At 38.5% G+C, this 21,092-nt stretch overlaps 2 annotated features.

Annotated features, from left to right (window-relative positions):
* Window positions 13,869–14,499: an enhancer, noted in NCBI's record as "NANOG-H3K27ac-H3K4me1 hESC enhancer chr1:188726483-188727113 (GRCh37/hg19 assembly coordinates)". NCBI's record gives its function as "activates a minimal SCP1, AML or CMV promoter by ChIP-STARR-seq in primed H9 embryonic stem cells {active_cell/tissue: H9 hESC(primed)}" and the evidence as "EXISTENCE:reporter gene assay evidence [ECO:0000049][PMID:30033119]".
* Window positions 19,577–20,509: an enhancer, noted in NCBI's record as "OCT4-NANOG hESC enhancer chr1:188720473-188721405 (GRCh37/hg19 assembly coordinates)". NCBI's record gives its function as "activates a minimal SCP1, AML or CMV promoter by ChIP-STARR-seq in naive H9 embryonic stem cells {active_cell/tissue: H9 hESC(naive)}" and the evidence as "EXISTENCE:reporter gene assay evidence [ECO:0000049][PMID:30033119]".

The raw sequence follows: 21,092 nt of genomic DNA, 5'->3' as shown, positions 1-21,092 counted from the left end.
GTAACATTGCTTTAGCTGCATCCCAGAGATTCTGATATGTTGTCTCTTTGTTCTCATTGGTTTCAATTAACTTCTTGATTTCTGCCTTAATGTCGTTATTTACCCAAAAGCCGTTCAGGAGCAGGTTTTCCAATTTTCATGTAGTTGTGGGGTTTTGAGTGGGTTTCTTAATCTTGAGTTCTAATTTGATTGCACTGGTATCTCAGAGACTGTTATTATTTCAGTTATTTTGCATTTGCTGAGGAGTGTTTTCCTTCCAATTATGTGATCAGTTTTACAGTAAGTGCCCTGTGGTGCCAAGAAATATGCATATTCTGTTGTTTTGAGGTGGAACTTTCTATACATAACTATCAGATCCACTTGGCCCAGAACTGAGTTCAAGTCCTAAATATCTTCGTTAATTTTCTTTCTCAATGATATGTCTATTACTGACAGTGAGGTATTAAAGTCTCCCACTATTATTTTCTGGGGGTGTAAGTCACTTTGTGGGTCTTTAAGAACTTGTTTTATGAATCTGGGGGTTCCTTTATTAGGTGCGCATATATTTAGGATAGTTATCTCTTCTTGTTGAATTGAGCTCTTTACCATTATGTAATGTCCTTTTTGTCTTTTTTGACTTCTGTTGATTTAAAGTCTATTTTGCCAGAAACTAGGATTGCAACCCCTGATTTTTTTGGCTTCTCATTTGCTTGGCAAATTTTTCTCCATCCCTTTATTTTGAGCCTATGTGTATCTTTGCAAGTGAGATGTATCTCTTGAATACAGCACACTGATGTGTCTTGTCTTTTTATCCAGCTTGCCATTTTGTGTCTCTTAATTGATGCACTTAACCCATTTACATTTAAGGTTAATATTGTTATGTGTGAATTTGATACTGTCATCCTCATGCTAGGTGGTTCATTTTTTAGACTGGTTAATGTAGTTGCTTCATCGTGTCATTGGTCTGTCTACTTCAGTGTGTTTTTGTAGTGGCTGGTAAAGGTTTTTCCTTTTCATGCTTTCTTCAGGAGCTCTTGCAAGGCAGGCCTGGTGGTGACAAAATCCCTCAGCATTTGCTTGTCTGAAGAGGATTTTATCTCTCCTTCATTCATGAATCTTTAGCTGGATATAAAATTCTGGGTAAGAAATTCTTTTTTTTTTTTTTTTAAGAATATTGGCCCCCAATCTCTTCTGGCTTGTAGGGTTTCTGCTGAGAGGTCTGTTGTTAGTCTGATGGGCTTCCCTTTGTAGGTGGCCTGACTTTCCCTCTGACTGCCCTTAACATTTTTTCCTTCTTTTCAACCTTGGAAAATCTGATGATTATGTGGCTTGGAGTAGATCTTCTCATAGAGTATCTTATTGGAATTCTCTGGATTTCCTGAATTTGAATATTGACCTGTCTTGCTAGGTTGGGGAAGTTCTCCTGGATGATATCTTGAAGTGTGTTTTTCAACTTGATTCCATTTTCCTCATCTCTTTCAGGTAATCCAATCAGTCATAGGTTCAGCTTTTTTACATAGTCCCATAGTTTTCAGAGGTTTGGTTCATTTCTTTTCATTCTTTTTCTTTAGTCTGCCTGCCTTAATTCAGCAAGATAGTCATCAAGCTCTGATATTCTCTCTTTCATGTGGTTGATTCAGTTATTAATACTTGTGTTTGCACCATGAAGTTCTCATGCGGTGTTTTTCAGCACCATCAGGTCATTCATGTTCCTCTCTAAACTGGTTATTCTAGTTTACAGCTACCCTAATCTTTCATCATGGTTCTTAGTTTTTTGTTTTGTTTTGTTTTGTTTTGTTTGCATTACATTAGAACATAATCCTTGGCTCAGTGAAGTTTGTTATTACCCACTTTCTGAAGCCTGCTTCTGTCAATTTCTCCATTTCAGCCTCTGCCCCATTCTATGCCCTTGCTAGAGAGGTGTTGCAACAACTGGAGGAGAAGAGGCATTCCGGCTTTTGGAATTTTCAGCGCTTTTTTGTTGGTTTTTCCTCATCTTCATGGATTTATCTACCTTTGATCTTTGAGGCTGTTGATCTTTGGATGGGGTTTTGTGGGGTCTTTTTTGTTGATGTTGTTGTTGTGTTGTTGCTTTCTGTTTGTTTTTCTTCTAACAGTCAGGCCCCTCTTCTGCAGGTCTGCTGCAGTTTGCTGGGGGTCCACTCCAGACCCTGTTCACCTGGGTATCACCAGTGGAGGTTGTAAAACAGCAGATTACTGCCTGCTCTTTCCTCCAGAAGCTTAGTCCCAGAGGGGCACTGACCTGATGCTGGCTGGAACTCTTTTGTATAAGGTTTCTGGCCACCCCTGTTGGGAGGTCTCACCCAATCAGGAGGCACGGAGTCAGGCACTCACTTAAGAAAGCCGACTGTCTTTTAGCGGAGCTGGTGTACTGTGCTGGGGCACTCCCCTTCATTCGGATCAGCCGGACTCTTCAAAGCCAGCAGGCAGGAAAGATTAAATCCGCTGAACCTGAGACTGTGGCCGCCCCTCCCCCCAGGTGTTCGGACCCAAGGAGATTAGAGGTCTGTCTGTAAGCCCCCGGCTGGAATTGCTGGAATTCCTGTAGGGAGGCCCTGCCCTTTGAGGAGGGATGGATCCTGGTCCCACCTAAAGAAGAAGTCTGGCCGCAATCTACTACAGCTGCTGTGCTGTGCTGTGGGTAGTACCGCCCAGTCCAAATCTCCCTGTCTCCCTAGCACTGTCAGGAGAAAACCATGGACTAGAGCCTCAGTAATGGTGCTTGCCCCCACCCTTGGGAATTAGGTCGTTTTAGGCCAACTCCAGGCTGCTGTGCTGGCCAGTGGGGATTTCAAGCCAGTGGGTCTTAGCCTGCGGAGTTCAATGGGAGTGGGACCCACTGAACGAGTCCATTTGGCTTCCTGGCTTCACCCCTCTTTCCACAGGAGTGGATGGTTCTCCTGCCTCACTGGAGTTCCAGGTGCCACTAGAGTATACAAAAGCTCCTGCAAGCCGGGCGCGGTGGCTCACGCCTGTAATCCCAGCACTTTGGGAGGCTGAGGCAGGCGGATCATGAGGTCAAGAAATCCAGACCATCTTGGCCAACATGGTGAAACCCCGTCTATACTAAAAATACAAAAATTAGCTGGGTGTGATGACGTGCGCTTGTAGTCCCAGCTACTCGGGAGGCTGAGGCAGGAGAATCACTTGAACCAGGGAGTCGAGGTTGCAAGTGAGCAGAGATCCCGCCACTGCACTCCAGCCTGGCGACAGAGAGAGACTCCTTCTCAAACAAACAAACAAACAAACTCCTGCAGCTCAGTGCCTGCCCAAACAGCTGCTGATGGGAGCAGCTGCTTTGGGTCTGCCCAGTTTTGTGCTTGAGACCCAAGGCCCTGGTGGTTTAGACTCATGAGAGACCTCCTGATTCCCAGATTGAAAAAAAATCTGTGGGAAAAGCAGTGTACCCGGGCAGTTAGCACAGTCCCTCACTGCCTCCCTTGGCTGGGGAAGGGAGGTCCCTTTGCCCCATGCAGATCCATAGTGAACCATCACCCCATCCTGCTTTGCCTTGCTCTCCATGGGTCACGCCAACTGCCTAGTCAGTCCCAATGAGATGAACTGGGTACCTCAGTTTGAAATGCAGAAATCACTCACCTTTTTTGCATTCATTTTTCTTGGAGCTACAGACTAGAGCTGTTTCTATTCAGCCATCTTGGCCCCTCCCCCACATTTTTCTTTCAATCTTTGTTATATTTTCTTCATAGAATATTCCTGCCACTAATTATATATATAAATTTAAGCTGTATGAGATCAGAATCTTTGTCTTGTCCACAGATTTATCATAAGCAATTTTTATTTCCTACCATGGAAAAAACATTTTAATCAGAACAATAATGCACGATATTCAATTATAATAACAAATATAAGTTATTGGTTAAAAAAATCTGATGCAATAAAATATTGATAAGTAAACAGGTCAAGTTAATTAATAGAAGAACAGAAAACGATTAAATTCTGTAATAAGGTGACATCAATTTTACAAAATGAATAGATCTATGACTATCAGAAAAAGAAAATTGCTAAAAGAAAACATCTTTGATGTAATTTATCATGAAGACATAACTGAATGCTGAAAAGGAAGTGCAGGAATGTACTTCAATAGATAAGGTTAGACTTTTCCTAACGGATTCAACACATCCCTTGATATTCTTGAATACATTGTTGAGTTCACTTTATGCTGCCAGTCAACTCTTGAATATTCATATTGTTATAATAATACATCAGCACAGAAAGGCAAAGTTTAATCTGATAGTAGCTGTGGTTTTGTCTGAGACACAGTCAGTGAAGGAAAGTCAGCCCCTGATGAGTAATGGAGTAGAGATAATTGACTACCTGTATAGTGAAAAGTGGTTATTTGGAGATGATCCTCAATCCTAATTTAGACACGTATAGTCAGAAGTTGATTAACTGCAATATTCTAAAGCCAACATTTTAATCCATAGAGAAATAATTAAATACTACTCTGTGCCAGGCACAACCATTTGTAAGAAAATGGTCAATAGCTTTCTTTAGCATTAGGGTATCTAATGAACAATTAAGCAATTAGGTAATTACTTAAAGAATTCCTAGGGTCATTCTAAGATGCTAAACATTAATATTTCTGAATGAGAAAGAGATACATTCATTTCAACAACTACTTTTAAATCTGCTTCCTATATGCATTATTTACATTATTAACACATCCAAACAAACCAAATAATAAGGTCATTTCAGGTGAGTGATTACATTAATTAAAAATAAGTTGACAGAAACAAAAGGTCAAATTTGTATCATGAAAAATTAATGAATTAATTTATCAAGAGAACAAAATGTATTAAAATTGTATGTGCTTTTTTCAACTTATTTATGGAAGTAGAGATAGCCACATTGTTTTTATGCACTTTCTGTTAGATAATAACGTGTGTGTTTTGTGGAAAGCTCTATTTTGATTACTTTTTGCTATTTTGTAGGCACAGTTTCTAAAGGGAGCTTTGAGACATTCAACTCATTGCAAATATTTAGAAATTATTCTAAATTATTTAGAATTATTAAATTATTAGAATATAAAGTTTTAAAATATATTTTCACTTTAAAGAATAGAAGTAATACACTACAATAATTATTGGCTATAATACCAGACAAATTGGCATAGAGATAATTTAATTCTCTCTCAAACATATGGTGAACACTGATGACTAATGTCATTTACCAATTTATCAGTTACTTCTGTTTTACTTAACTGTCCTTGTTAGCCTGGTATATATTCTACTATAGTTTGTTTTAAAATTAAATAATTATCCTGACTCTATGGCTCCTCAAGTATCCATAGGCACAAGCCAAATTCTACCATCTGAAGAAACAAGCCTAAGAGTAGAGTAAGGGCAACTGAACATTTGCTTGATAGATAACTTAATACAGAATGTTTTCAATCTTATTTTAAATTGCATGTTGCATGCTGTTTCTTTTAACACTACTTCAACGTAGTCTTAATGATTGTATCACAAAATTACATTAAAGTAATAATTATAATTGTGTATGGTGTTTATGCCGATAAGTATACTTTGTGCATATGTATTTGGGCACTTTTCAGCATGTGCACTGCACTTTGATAAATGATTTATTTAAAAGAGAGCAATCAACAAGAGTTTTAATTGTATATAAGACTGTGAAGGTAAAGACGAAGAGTGATCATTCAATCAAATAAAATCAGAGGGATAAATCAAGAGAGTGGAAAGACTTACAATAAGGTGTTAATGGATGATATCTAAAGTCATAGAGATTATTTTTCTATTAGCTATCGTATTGTGTTGTATTTATTGTTATAAATACAACTGTTAAGAAACTACAAGCCTTCCTAAGTTTTGTTTTTAATAAAATCACATAATTAAGAAGTGATACTACAATGTGAAGTTTATTTAAAAAGATAAAGAAGTGGAAAGCAAGATTGCAGAGAAAAGGGAATGCTTATGTACTCTTGGTGGGAGTGTAAATTAGTTCAACCATTGTGAAAAGCAGCGTGGCAATTCCTCAAAGAGCTAAAAACAAAACTATTATTTGACCCAGCAATCCCATTACTGAGTATATACCCAAAGGAATATAAATCATTCTACAATAAAGACACATGTATGTATATGTTCATTGCAGCCCTATTCACAATAGCAAAGACATGAAATCAACCTAAATGCCTATCAGTGGCAGAATAGCTAAAGAAATGTGGTACATATACTCCACAGAATGCTATGTGGCCATTAAAAAAAAAAAATGATCTCATGGACACAAAGGAGGGAACAACAGACACCGAGGTCTACTTTTAGGGTGGAGGGTAGGAGGAGGGAGAGTGTCAAGAAAAATAACTATTGAGTACTAGGCTTAGTACCTGAGTAATCAAATAATCTGTACAACAAACCCCTATGACATGAGTTTATCCATATGGCAAACCTGCACATGTATCCATGAACCCAAAATAAAAGTTTTAAAAAATCATGTATCAGGAACTAGCAATAAGAATAAGCTGCTTTAAAATTTGTATTTCCTGTTTGTTTTCCATGGGGGTATCTGTGTGAAAGTCAGTATGTTAGGGTAAAGGAAGCAGCGAGGACAATGTACTTAAAATAAATGCAATCACAAAATTACAAAGAAAAAAAGATTAAATAGATGCATCTAACATATTTACATATGGGTGTATGGGTGTGAGCTAAACTCACATATTTAACAAATAATCACTATCTGATTTCATAACAAAATAAAAGATGACTTTAAAGTGTAGAAGATATAGACCTAAATAAAGGGTGTTACTAAGATCAAAGTGAAGAGAAAATGAAAAGATGTAATATGCAAAGGCTAACAACAATCACATATCAGTTATTCCAATCTTCCTATTGAAGAAATTTAAATGTAGATATAAATGCTAATCAAATTTATAATAAGACATACCAAATAAAAATGTGTGCTACAAACAACTTAGCAGCAACATTTACATGAAAAGATACAAGGAATATGAAGAAAATAGATATAAACAACAAAGTCACATATTAAATTATCTCTTGAAAGAATATAGATTTCCAAAATGAAATACCACAATTATTCAGGTTAATTTATTTAATATGTACCAATTTTTAAATCAATATCAATATCACAGAATATAAATGTTTTAATGTAAAAATGATGAATACATATAATATTATATACATTAGGTTGTAAATAAAACAATAATAAATATATACATTTGAAATGTGTATGGAAGTGACCTAAATAAAGGGAAATGAGTAGTCTTAAAACTAAAGGCAAATGGAACTGTACAGACGCACTCTTCTTTAGTAGATAAAGTTGTTTTCACATTGTATGAGATATAAATTGTATTCATGTATACTGGAATTGAATAGTTAAGGTAAATGGGTAGTGGACAGTGGTAGCCAGGTTTCTCATCATTTTAGATAAGCAATGTAGGAGGCTGGATGATCCATGTGGTAATAGATTAGTGGCAACTTCATTATGAACTTGTGTTTAGTTTAATATAGACACAGATGATTACATAGAGAAATATAGATATAAATTTTGATATGTATACACACACACACACACACACACACACACGGTCAGTATATGCACATATAGTTCTTGTTCCGTCATCTTTGAGGGCTTAGAAGACAATGACAGCTGGCTAAGAGGACAATAACACCAAGTAACAATGAGCCCATTCAGAGCCCAGCACTGAGTTTCTAACACTATTCTTTAAAAGGCACCAGGGATCTTTAGAGAACTGGCTGGTTCTAGGATTGGGGCAAAGAGTTATGCAAGACGAGCCTGGTACATCTTGTAGTGCTAGGAAGTAAGAAAGTATTAAAAGTAATACAATGGTTGGAGTATGTCAAAAGGATATAGGAGCCAACTGAAGGGGCCTCAATGGCAAAATCTAAAAAAAATAAAAAGCAAGAATATGAAGTACTATTGAGTTGTAACTCAAAGTATAAAATAAATATCCATAAGTTCATACTAACATAAAGAAAGGATTATGTAAACAACTAAGAGATAAGAGATAATATCTTGTGGAGAATACCAAATATTTATGTAGATATTATGAATCTCAAAAAGGTGAATCATAACTTCTCACTCATTGAAGAATACAGTGGGACAGGGTGTAAGCTTAGTGAAGAAACCACGGGGCAAGCACTACCTCAGTTAGGTGATTAAGGTCAACATTAACTGTGATATATCGTATTATGTTGATAACATATGGCCTTTATGTCGTAAGATAGAAATTTCTAGCTATCTCTGTGGTTTCCCTCTCAATAATATAACTCCAGTTTAATCATGAGAAAATATCAAGAGGATCCAAATTGAAGGGCATTCTACAAAATTCCTGATTTGTACACCTTAAAAGTCTCTGTCAAGGGTGTTAAATACAAAAGTCTGAGAACTGTCTTAGCTAAGAGGAGCCTGAAGAGGCATGACCATTAAATGCAATGTTATATCTTGGATGGTTGCTAGAAGAATAAAAAACCTTCAGGTAAAAACCAAGGAAATCTGAATATAAAGTATGGACTTTAATTAATAATGATGAAGCAATATTAATTCATTAATTGTGACAAATACAGTATACCAATATGAAATGCTAATATTAGGGGATATGGGTGTTGGATATGTGGGTACCTTCCATAATACCATCACAATTTTTCAGTAAATCTGAAATTGTTTTAAAATTTTTATTTCTAAAATTTCCAGAAATCAGGAAAACTAAATTTAGCATTAGTTGCAAAATAAGGAAACAAAGAGCATCTAACAGCCGATTAATTACTCTCAAATCACATGTATAAAATAAGAAATACATGCTAACATTGTAGAATATCTTGAAAATAATGATAATTGACATGTTATTTCAAGAAAACCTGCAGGAAAATGTCAAAAAATATAGTATTCACTTTTGTTAAAATACAATAAAAAATAAGTAAGTTAAGAAATATATTTAATATACACAAAGAGATAAGTAAACTATAATTTACATAAAATAACAGGAAATTAATAAAGTAGAAAACTGTAAAATAATGGAACAAATAATTATATCTAAGAGCTAGTTTAAATATGTAAAAACAGCCATATATTGAAGAAAAGATAAGACAAAAAATAGGAAGAAATGGAATAGATTAAAAACAAGAAAGGATGAGGAAAAATGACTATAGAGTAAGAGACAACTAAATTACAAAAAAACTTTTATCAATATTTGAAATACCTTTAAAAGAAATGTAAAAGGCTGAACAATGACTATGCAAAAACATCAGCACCCAATCCCTGAAACATTTTGTTTTACTTTATGAGGAAAATAATTTTTGCTGATGTGATTAAATTATTGAATTGGAGAGATTATACTCTATTGTCACTGTGGGCTGTAAATCAAATCACAAGTGTTATTTAAAGACAGAGGCCGGAGGAGATTTGATATACACAAAAGAGGCAGAGGAAATGTGACCATGGAGGCAGAGATTGCAGAGACATACTCACAAATCAAGGGATGTAGGCAGCCACTGTTTGCTGGAAGGGGAAAGGAATAGATTTTCAGCTAGAGTCAGCGTGGCTCTACTGACACCTTCATTTTGGCTCAGTGACACTGATTCAGACTTCTGGACTCAGAACTGTGAGAGAAAAAAAATGTTTTTAATTCACCAAGTTTTAGGTCATTTGTTTAGGCCAGGAAACTGATTTGCTTAAAATTGATTTATCAAAACAATTCAAAAGAGAGTGAAAATTCTCCACATACCAATTATGGAAAAAAATAGAAGATTTCTTAATATGTGTTTAGTCACTCAGTCCTTGGTGCTGATACTGCTGTAGCTTTCACTCATAGGGGAAGAGGTAGAGGAGTATTGATAAACAGCATACCAGACCTGGCTCTCACCATAGAGGTTGTAGAGATGGAGTAATATTAGAGGTTAAGGCAACAACAGTGGTGGCTCTCCAATGAGCAAGCAGTAGTAGGAGAGGGGAAGAAGCCTGAGGAGTTCTGTAGTCTATTTCTTCTGCCACTCATATTCACACATAGGTACTTCTAATAAGTGGACTTCTTTCTGAAATCTGAGATCAAGGTGTCCTCACTTCTTGCCTGAATTGAATTCCAAATCCAATCCCTAAAGATGGTAGCCTGTTGCTACCTGCTAATAAAGCTGTAAAGACAGCTTAAGCTTGAACAGTCTTCACTGCTGCAGTTTGTACTAAGTCCATAGCAGGGAACCATCATTTTGGTCTTTCTCCTCAGCACAACTTTGGATGGTCTGGGTCAATTGCCTCGTGACAAAATCCAGACAAAATCTCCTAGGTGTTTGAGCCCTAAATTGCCTCCCAATCCTCATGCCATTGTTGCAACAATTAGCCAGTCATGAATCTTATTGGTCTTGAAGCAGTACAAATGCCTTAGTAAGTACAAATAGTTCCACACAATATGTAAAAATAACTCAAATTCCACATGGTTATCAGAGCTGATTATGCCAGACAATAATGCAACACTGTGTTTTGCCTACTGATCCTCTGAGATGATTTTGAAATATATGTACAAATTATTTCAGCCCCTAGAAGAGGTGAGTGTAATTTTCCTTTGCTTGGACATGGTCTTGTCTTTGTGACTTGCATCTAACAAAGGGAATGATAAGAAAGTGACACTATTATTTCGGACTTTATGTCATAAAATTGTTCATACAATCCCTCCCATGCCATCTCTTTTGCTCAATGTAGCCCTGAGACACTGTGTAAGACATCCATATACAATTAAGCCGTCGTGCTGAGAGAACGTTTCTAGAGGGCATATAGAAATACAGATGATAAAAAAAGATGCCTGAGGACATCTGCCTGTTCCAAGTATCCAACTGTTGAGTTTTTATAGCTCAGAAGTGAGAAATGTGAGTTACCAAACCTTCAAATAATAACCCTCAGTTTCTTTATGCATCCCAACTAACTCCATGTGGAGCAGAGATGAGCTGTATTTTCTAAGGCCTAACCTTCCTGCAGATTTGTGAAAATACATTTTTATGTGAGACAAAAGATGGTTTGCTATACAACCATAATAACTAAAACATAATAAATAAATTTAAGTGATCAGATGGTAATTGCAGCTCAGAGTTCAGTAGACATTTACATTGTGAAGGAGGAAGAGAAAACCCCCAAGCCTCCTGGGAACTTTCAGCCATTCAACCAAAGATCAGTTGGAATGTACTTATAAGTCACAAAGTTGGGTTAGTTGGTACTTGTGGCATCAAGAGAGATTACCCATAATGGGTAGCCGTGGAGAATCTCTATAAGAGAATGAAGGTGTCAGGGGAAGGAGCTTGCTACTTGAGCTGAGCTTTTGTTATATGCATTAGAGGAAGAGTTCAGGAAGTCTGGGCTTTGCTGTAGGATTAAGTGGTAATATAATGTTCAAGCATTTCAAATATTGGTATTTTGATAATTTTTTTCTCAAGAAGGAGACTAAGGATAATAAAAATTAGGGATAATAAAAATATCAGAAGGCACTTGAGGTGGGGGATGATTGATGATTTTTAAGGTCTGTACAGTTTTTCTGTGTTCATACAGGATTTTGAATATATATGTGTATTTTCAAAATGCGTATGTATTTACATTCAGCAGGAGAATACCGTGGGCTAGCTGTTCAAGTTAGACAAGCTACCTGCTGATAGCTGTTAGAGTCTGCTGTTTTGTTTTGTTCTTCTCCACAAGAATTTCATATTGGAAACCTGACTGTTTCAGAGACTAGAAATATAAATTAATTCAGTTGGCCATTGGAAATCATGGGTAAGGAGCCAATCCAATCCCTTAGTTCTCAGAACCATGTATTCTAACTATAGGACACATAGCACAATCTATTAAATGTTGGTTCAATAATCATTTCAGATACAATGCATTAATTTTTAATGTAGTGCCTTAGCTGAGCCTTCAACAAGTCATTCAACCACGTTGTTAGGCCATCAAGTTCTGGGATATAGGGTACATGATGAGATTAGTGAATACCATGGCCAATAGCTATGCCATATTGAGTGTAAAATAGGTGTGTTAGACCCATATGGGATTCCATGTTTATAGATGAGACATTCTGTAAGTTTTATGATTGTAATAATAGATAAACCAATATATGTAGAAAAATAAAATGAGTCATATGATACACACACATACACATACACACACATATATTTTTTAAAGTAGGTTTCCATTTTAATAACAGATTTTCCCTCTGTGATGAAAATTATCCAATATAATCCACTTGCCACTAAGCAATTGGCTTTTTCTCCTAGAAAACAGTGTGATTTTGAAGGTTTAGCATCAGCCTCTGTTGGTGATAGGTTAGTCATTCAGGAGTAGATAGCAGCCTGTAGATGAGATGTACTGAGTGGAATTTCATTCTGTTTGAACCCAAAGCTTTAACTCTTTATTTTCATAGCTTCTCCACTTATGGGCCAATTGTGCAAATATTTGAGAAGTCAAAGAGAAATGTTGGCTGACTTCCACATCATTGATCATATTAATGCAATTTATTCATGCATTAGGGATCTGCTTACGCCTGACCCCAAATGTATGTTTTCTTACTTCATTTGTGCAATGGGTTTTTGCTCTGTCTTCCTGATCTTGTGATTTGTTGAATCTCTTAACACTTGGCTCATGACATTCAACTCTGGCTGCATAGTCACTTTGTGTGCTTCCAGTTTTTGCCCATTCAGTATGATATTGGCTGTGGGTTTGTCATAGATAGCTCTTATTATTTTGAAATACGTCCCATCAATACCTACTTTATTGAGAGTTTTTAGCATGAAGGGTTGTTGAATTTTGTCAAAGGCTTTTTCTGCATCTATTGAAATAATCATGTGGTTTTTGTCTTTGGCTCTGTTTATATGCTGGATTACATTTATTGATTTGCGTATATTGAACCAGCCTTGCATCCCAGGGATGAAGCCCACTTGATCATGGTGGATAAGCTTTTTGATGTGCTGCTGGATTTGGTTTGCCAGTATTGTATTGAGGATTTTTGCATCAATGTTCATCAAGGATATTGGTCTAAAATTCTCTTTTTTGGTTGTGTTTGTACCATATGGATATGCTGATCATCTGGCTAAAAGAGGATATATTGCATTAAAGTCTAGGCCTGCTGCAGAGCCCTCTATTACTCCAGGCTCCACTCAAAATCGGCAGACTTATTTATCACTTGATAATTGGGTTGAAACAATATACCCATGGCGTAACACATGCTGCCTTCTAAATCTGAAGAAGCCATAAAAATACCTTTTTTATTTATTGGTATTAGGGCATAGAGGTACAATAACTTGTACTTTGTTTTAGTGTAGATATTCTTTAAGATATCATGAAACAGATTTCAAGATATCATGAAACAGGTATCATGAAAAGATTTTCATGTGGTTTAACTCTAACTCTCCCTAAGTAGAGTAGTACACCCTTATCTGTGGGGATAGATTTTAAGACCACTAGGGGATGCCTAAATTCACAGATGATACTGAACCCTGCATATGCTGTGTTTTTTACTATACATGCATATGTAGAATAAAATTTAATTTATAAATTAAGCAGAGTAAGAGTTTAACAGTAATACAAAAATAACAATTATAACAATATATGTGGGGTGGAGGAGGCAAGATGGCTGAATAGGAACAGCTCCGGTCTACAGCTCCCAGCGTGAGCGACGCAGAAGACGGGTGATTTCTGCATTTCCATCTGAGGTACCGGGTTCATCTCACTAGGGAGTGCCAGACAGTGGGTGCAGGTCAGTGGGTGCGCGCACCGTGCGCGAGCCACAGCAGGGCGAGGCATTGCCTCACTTGGGAAGCGCAAGGGGTCAGGGAGTTCCCTTTCGGAGTCAAAGAAAGGGGTGACGGACGCACCTGGATAATCGGGTCACTCCCACCAGAATACTGCGCTTTTCCGACCGGCTTAAAAAACGGCGCACCACGAGAGTATATCCCGCACCTGGCTCGGAGGGTCCTATGCCTAAGGAGTCTCGCTGATTGCTAGCACAGCAGTCTGAGATCAAACTGCAAGGCGGCAGCGAGGCTGGGGGAGGGGCGCCCGCCATTGCCCAGGCTTGCTTAGGTAAACAAAGCAGCCAGGAACCTCCAACTGGGTGGAGCCCACCACAGCTCAAGGAGGCCTGCCTGCCTCTGTAGGCTCCACCTCTGGGGGCAGGGCACAGACAAACAAAAAGACAGCAGTAACCTCTGCAGACTTAAATGTCCCTGTCTGACAGCTTTGAAGAGAGCAGTGGTTCTCCCAGCACTCAGCTGGAGATCTGAGAATGGGCAGACTGCCTCCTCAAGTGGGTCCCTGACCCCTGACCCCCGAGCAGCCTAACTGGGAGGCACCCCCCAGCAGGGGCACACTGACACCTCACAAGGCAGGGTATTCCAACAGACCTGCAGCTGAGGGTCCTGTCTGTTAGAAGGAAAACTAACAAACAGAAAGGACATCCACACCAAAAACCCATCTGTACATCACCATCATCAAAGACCAAAAGTAGATAAAACCACAAAGATGGGGAAAAAACAGAGCAGAAAAACTGGAAACTCTAAAAAGCAGAGCGCCTCTCCTCCTCCAAAGGAACGCAGTTCCTCACCAGCAACGGAACAAAGCTGGATGGAGAATGTCTTTGAGGAGCTGAGAGAAGGCTTCAGATGATCAAATTACTCTGAGCTATGGGAGGACATTCAAACCAAAGGCAAAGAAGTTGAAAACTTTGAAAAAAATTCAGAAGAATGTATAACTAGAATAACCAATACAGAGAAGTGCTTAAAGGAGCTGATGGAGCTGAAAACCAAGGCTCGAGAACTACGTGAAGAATGCAGAAGCCTCAAGAGCCAATGTGATCAACTGGAAGAAAGGGTATCAGCAATGGAAGATGAAATGAATGAAATGAAGCGAGAAGGGAAGTTTAGAGAAAAAAGAATACAAAGAAATGAGCAAAGCCTCCAAGAAATATGGGACTATGTGAAAAGACCAAATCTACGTCTGATTGGTGTACCTGAAAGTGATGGGGAGAATGGAACCAAGTTGGAAAACACTCTGCAGGATATTATCCAGGAGAACTTCCCCAATCTAGCAAGGCAGGCCAACGTTCAGATTCAGGAAATGCAGAGAATGCCACAAAGATACTCCTCGAGAAGAGCAACTCCAAGACACATAATTGTCAGATTCACCAAAGTTGAAATGAAGGAAAAAATGTTAAGGGCAGCCAGAGAGAAAGGTCGGGTTACCCTCAAAGGGAAGCCCATCAGACTAACAGCGGATCTCTCAGCAGAAACCCTACAAGCCAGAAGAGAGTGGGGGCCAATATTCGACATTCTTAAAGAAAAGAATTTTCAACCCAGAATTTCATGTCCAGCCAAACTAAGCTTCATAAGTGAAGGAGAAATAAAATACTTTACAGACAAGCAAATGCTGAGAGATTTTGTCACCACCAGGCCTGCCCTAAAAGAGCTCCTGAAGGAAGTGCTAAACATGGAAAGGAACAACCGGTACCAGCCACTGCAAAATCATGCCAAAATGTAAAGACCATCGAGACTAGGAAGAAACTGCATCAACTAACGAGCAAAATAACCAGCTAACATCATAATGACAGGATCAAATTCACACATAACAATATTAACTTTAAATGTAAATGGACTAAATGCTCCAATTAAAAGACACTGACTGGCAAATTGGATAAAGAGTCAAGACCCATCAGTGTGCTGTATTCAGGAAACCCATCTCACGTGCAGAGACACACATAGGCTCAAAATAAAAGGATGGAGGAAGATCTACCAAGCAAATGGAAAACAAAAAAAGGCAGGGGTTGCAATCCTAGTCTCTGATAAAACAGACTTTAAACCAACAAAGCTCAAAAGAGACAAAGAAGGCCATTACATAATGGTAAAGGGATCAATTCAACAAGAAGAGCTAAGTATCCTGAATATATATGCACCCAATACAGGAGCACCCAGATTCATAAAGCAAGTCCTGAGTGACCTACAAAGAGACTTAGACTCCCACACATTAATAATGGGAGACTTTAACGCCCCACTGTCAACATTAGACAGATCAACGAGACAGAAAGTCAACAAGGATACCCAGGAATTGAACTCAGCTCTGCACCAAGTGGACCTAATAGACATCTACAGAACTCTCCACCCCAAATCAACAGAATATACATTTTTTTCAGCACCACACCACACCTATTCCAAAATTGACCACATACTTGGAAGTAAAGCTCTCCTCAGCAAAAGTAAAAGAACAGAGATTATAACAAACTATCTCTCAGACCACAGTGCAATCAAACTAGAACTCAGGATTAAGAATCTCACTCAAAACCGCTCAACTACATGGAAACTGAACAACCTGCTCCTGAATGACTACTGGGTACATAACGAAATGAAGGCAGAAATAAAGATGTTCTTTGAAACCAATGAGAACAAAGACACAACATACCAGAATCTCTGGGACACATTCAAAGCAGTGTGTAGAGGGAAATTTATAGCACTAAATGCCCACAAGAGAAAGCAGGAAAGATCCAAAATTGACACCCTAACATCACAATTAAAAGAACTAGAAGAGCAAGAGCAAACACATTCAAAAGCTAGCAGAAGGCAAGAAACTAAAATCAGAGCAGAACTGAAGGAAATAGCGACACAAAAAACCCTTCAAAAAATTAATGAATCCAGGAGCTGGTTTTTTGAAAGGATCAACAAAATTGATAGAACGCTAGCAATCCTCAAAGAAAAAAAGAGAGAAGAATCAAATAGACACAATAAAAAATGATAAAGGGGATATCACCACCGATCCCACAGAAATACAAACTACCATCAGAGAATACTACAAACACCTCTACACAAATAAACTAGAAAATCTAGAAGAAATGGATAAATTCCTCGACACATACACTCTCCCAAGACTAAACCAGGGAGAAGTTGAATCTCTGAATAGACCAATAACAGGATCTGAAATTGTGGCAATAATCAATAGTTTACCAACCAAAAAGAGTCCAGGACCAGATGGATTCACAGCCGAATTCTACCCGAGGTACAAGGAGGAACTGGTACCGTTCCTTCTGAAACTATTCCAATCAATAGAAAAAGAGGGAATCCTCCCTAACTCATTTTATGACCCCAGCATCATTCTGATACCAAAGCCGGGCAGAGACGCAAACAAAAAAGAGAATTTTAGACCAATATCCTTGATGAACATTGATGCAAAAATCCTCAATAAAATACTGGCAAACCGAATCCAGCAGCACATCAAAAATCTTCTCCACCATGATCAAGTGGGCTTCATCCCTGGGATGCAAGGCTGGTTCAATATATGCAAATCAGTAAATGTAATCCAGCATATAAACAGAGCCAAAGACAAAAACCACATGATTATTTCAATAGATGCAGAAAAAGCCTTTGACAAAATTCAACAACCCTTCATGCTAAAAACTCTCAATAAAGTAGGTATTGATGGGACGTATTTCAAAATAATAAGAGCTATCTATGACAAACCCACAGCCAATATCATACTGAATGGGCAAAAACTGGAAGCATTCCCTTTGAAAACTGGCACAAGACAGGGATGCCCTCTCTCACCACTCCTATTCAACATAGTGTTGGAAGTTCTGGCCAGGGCAATTAGGCAGGAGAAGGAAATAAAGGGTATTCAATTAGGAAAAGAGGAAGTCAAATTGGCCCTGTTTGCAGATGACATGATTGTATATCTAGAAAACCCCATTGTCTCAGCCCAAAATCTCCTTAAGCTGATAAGCAACTTCAGCAAAGTCTCAGGATGCAAAATCAATGTACAAAAATCACAAGCATTCTTATACACCAACAACAGACAAACAGAGAGCCAAATCATGAGTGAACTCCCATTCACAGTTGCTTCAAAGAGAATAAAATACCTAGGAATCCAACTTACAAGGGATGTGAAGGACCTCTTCAAGGAGAACTACAAACCACTGCTCTATTAAATAAAAGAGGATGCAAACAAATGGAAGAACATTCCATGCTCATGGGTAGGAAGAATCAATATCATAAAAATGGCCATACTGCCCAAGGTAATTTACAGATTCAATGCCATCCCCATCAAGCTACTAATGCCTTTCTTCACAGAATTGGAAAAAACTACTTTAAAGTTCATGTGGAACCAAAAAAGAGCCCGCATTGCCAAGTCAATCCTAAGCGAAAAGAACAAAGCTGGAGGCATCACACTACCTGACTTCAAACTATACTACAAGGCTACAGTAACCAAAACAGCATGGTACTGGTACCAAAACAGAGATATAGATTAATGGAACAGAGCAGAGACCTCAGAAATAATGCCGCATATCTACAACTATCTGATCTTTGACAAACCTGAGAAAAACAAGCAATGGGGAAAGGGTTCCCTATTTAATAAATGGTGCTGGTAAAACTGGCTAGCCATATGTAGAAAGCTGAAACTGGATCCCTTCCTTACACCTTATACAAAAATCAATTCAAGATGGATTAAAGACTGAAACGTTAGACCTAAAACCATAAAAACCCTAGAAGAAAACCTAGGCATTACCATTCAGGACATAGGCATGGGCAAGGACTTCATGTCTAAAACACCAAAAGCAATGGCAACAAAAGCCAAAATTGACAAATGGGATTTAATTAAACTAAAGAGCTTCTGCACAGCAAAAGAAACTACCATCAGAGTGAAGAGGCAACCTACAAAATGGGAGAAAATTTTTGCAAGCTACTCATCTGACAAAGGGCTAATATCCAGAATCTACAATGAACTCAAACAAATTTACAAGAAAAAAAACAAACAACCCCATCAAAAAGTGGGCGAAGGACATGAACAGACACTTCTCAAAAGAAGAACATTTATGCAGCCAAAAAACACATGAAAAAATGCTCATCATCACTGGCCATCAGAGAAATGCAAATCAAAACCACAATGAGATACCATCTCACACCAGTTAGAATGGCAATCATTAAAAAGTCAGGAAACAACAGGTGCTGGAGAGGATGTGGAGAAACAGGAACACTTTTACACTGTTGGTGGGACTGTAAACTAGTTCAACCATTGTGGAAGTCAGTGTGGCAATTCCTCAGGGATCTAGAACTGGAAATACCATTTGATCCAGCCATCCCATTACTGGGTATCTACCGAAAGGACTATAAATCATGCTGGTATAAAGACACATGCACACGTATGTTTATTGCAGCATTATTCACAATAGCAAAGACTTGGAACCAACCCAAATGTCCAACAATGATAGACTGGATTAAGAAAATGTGGCACATATACACCATGGAATACTATGAAGCCATAAAAAATGATGAGTTCATGTCCTTTGTAGGGACATGGATGAAATTGGAAATCATTCTCAGTAAACTATCGCAAGAACAGAAAACCAAACACCACATATTCTCAGTCATAGGTGGGAATTGAGCAATGAGATCACATGGACACAGGAAGGGGAATATCACACTCTGGGGACTGTGGTGGGGTGGGGGGAGGGGGGAGGGATAGCATTGGGAGATATACCTAATGCTAGATGACGAGTTAGTGGGTGCAGCGCACCAGCATGGCACATGTATACATATGTAACTAACCTGTACAATGGGCACATGTACCCTAAAACTTAAAGTATAAGAATAAATAAATAAATAAATAAATAAATAAATAAAAAACAATATATGTGGGGAAAAGAGAGATCAGACTGTTACTGTGTCTGTGTAGAAAGAAGTAGACATAAGAGACTCCATTTTGTTCTGTACTAAGAAAAATTCTTCTGCCTTGAGATGCTGTTAATCTGTAACCCTACCCTCAACCCTGTGCTCCCTGAAACACGTGCTGTGTCAACTCAGGGTTAAATGGATTAAGGGCTGTGCAGGATGTGCTTTGTTAAACAAATGCTTGAAGGCAGCATGCTTGTTAAGAGTCATCACCACTGCCTAATCTCAAGTACCCAGAGAGACAGTACACTGCGGATGGCTGCATGGACCTCTGCCTAGGAAAGCCAGGTATTGTCCAAGGTTTCTCCCCATGTGATAGTCTGAAATATGGCCTCGTGGGAAGGGAAAGACCTGACCATTCCCCAGCCCGACACCCACACCCGTAAAGGGTCTGTGCTGAGGCCTCTTTGCAGTTGAGATAAGAGGAAGGCATCTGTCTCCTCCTCATCCCTGGGCAATGGAATGTCTCCCTGTAAAGCCCGATTGTATATTCCATCTACTGAGATAGGGGTAAACCGCCTTAGGGCTGGAGGTGGCACATGCTGGCAGCAATACTGCTCTTTAAGGCATTGAGATGTTTATGTATATGCACATCAAAAGCACAGCACTTTTTTCTTTACCTTGTTTATGATGCAGAGACATTTGTTCACATGTTTTCCTGCTGACCTTCTCTCCACTATTACCCTATTGTCCTGCCACATCCCTCTCTCCAGGCACATCCCTCTCTCAGGTAAATGCCTGATAATGATCAATAAGTACTAAAAGGAAACTCAGAGGCCTGTGCCGGCGCAGGTCCTCCATATGCTGAGTGCCGGTCCCCTGGGCCCATTTTTGTTTCTCTATGTCTTGTCTCTGTGTCTCTTTCTTTTCCAAGTCTCTCGTTCCACCTGACGAGAAACGCCCACAGGTGTGGAGGGGCAACCCATCCCTTCAAATATACTGTAATAACAGTTAGGTGTATATGATCTTTCCTTCTCTCTTTCTTTCTCTCAAAATGTATTATTGTACTGTACTCACCTTATGTATTAATCCATTCTCCCACTACTATAAAGTCATTTCTTGAGACTGGGTAATTTATGAAAAAAAAAAAAAAAAGATTTAATTGACTCAGTTCCACAGGCTACACAAGAGGCATGGCTGGGGAGGCCTTAGGAAAATTACAATCATGGAGGAAGGCAAAGGGGAAGCAGGCATGGTTTTCACATGGCCAGAGCAGTAGAAAAAGGGAGAGGAGGGGGAAGTGCTACACACTTTTATCTAACCAGATCTTATGAGAACTCTTTCATGAGACAACACTAGCGTGATGGTACTAAACCATTAGAAACTACTCCCTTCCACTAAACTCCACCTCCAACACTCAGGATCACAAATCAACATGATATTTGGGTGGGGACATGGAGCCAAACCATA

The sequence above is a fragment of the Homo sapiens genome, chromosome 1 (assembly GCF_000001405.40).
Source record: "Homo sapiens chromosome 1, GRCh38.p14 Primary Assembly".
In the NCBI taxonomy this organism is placed as follows: Eukaryota; Metazoa; Chordata; class Mammalia; order Primates; family Hominidae; genus Homo; species Homo sapiens.
The sequence above is the reverse complement of the archived record's forward strand: the minus strand, read 5'-3'. Positions and strand labels throughout refer to the sequence as shown.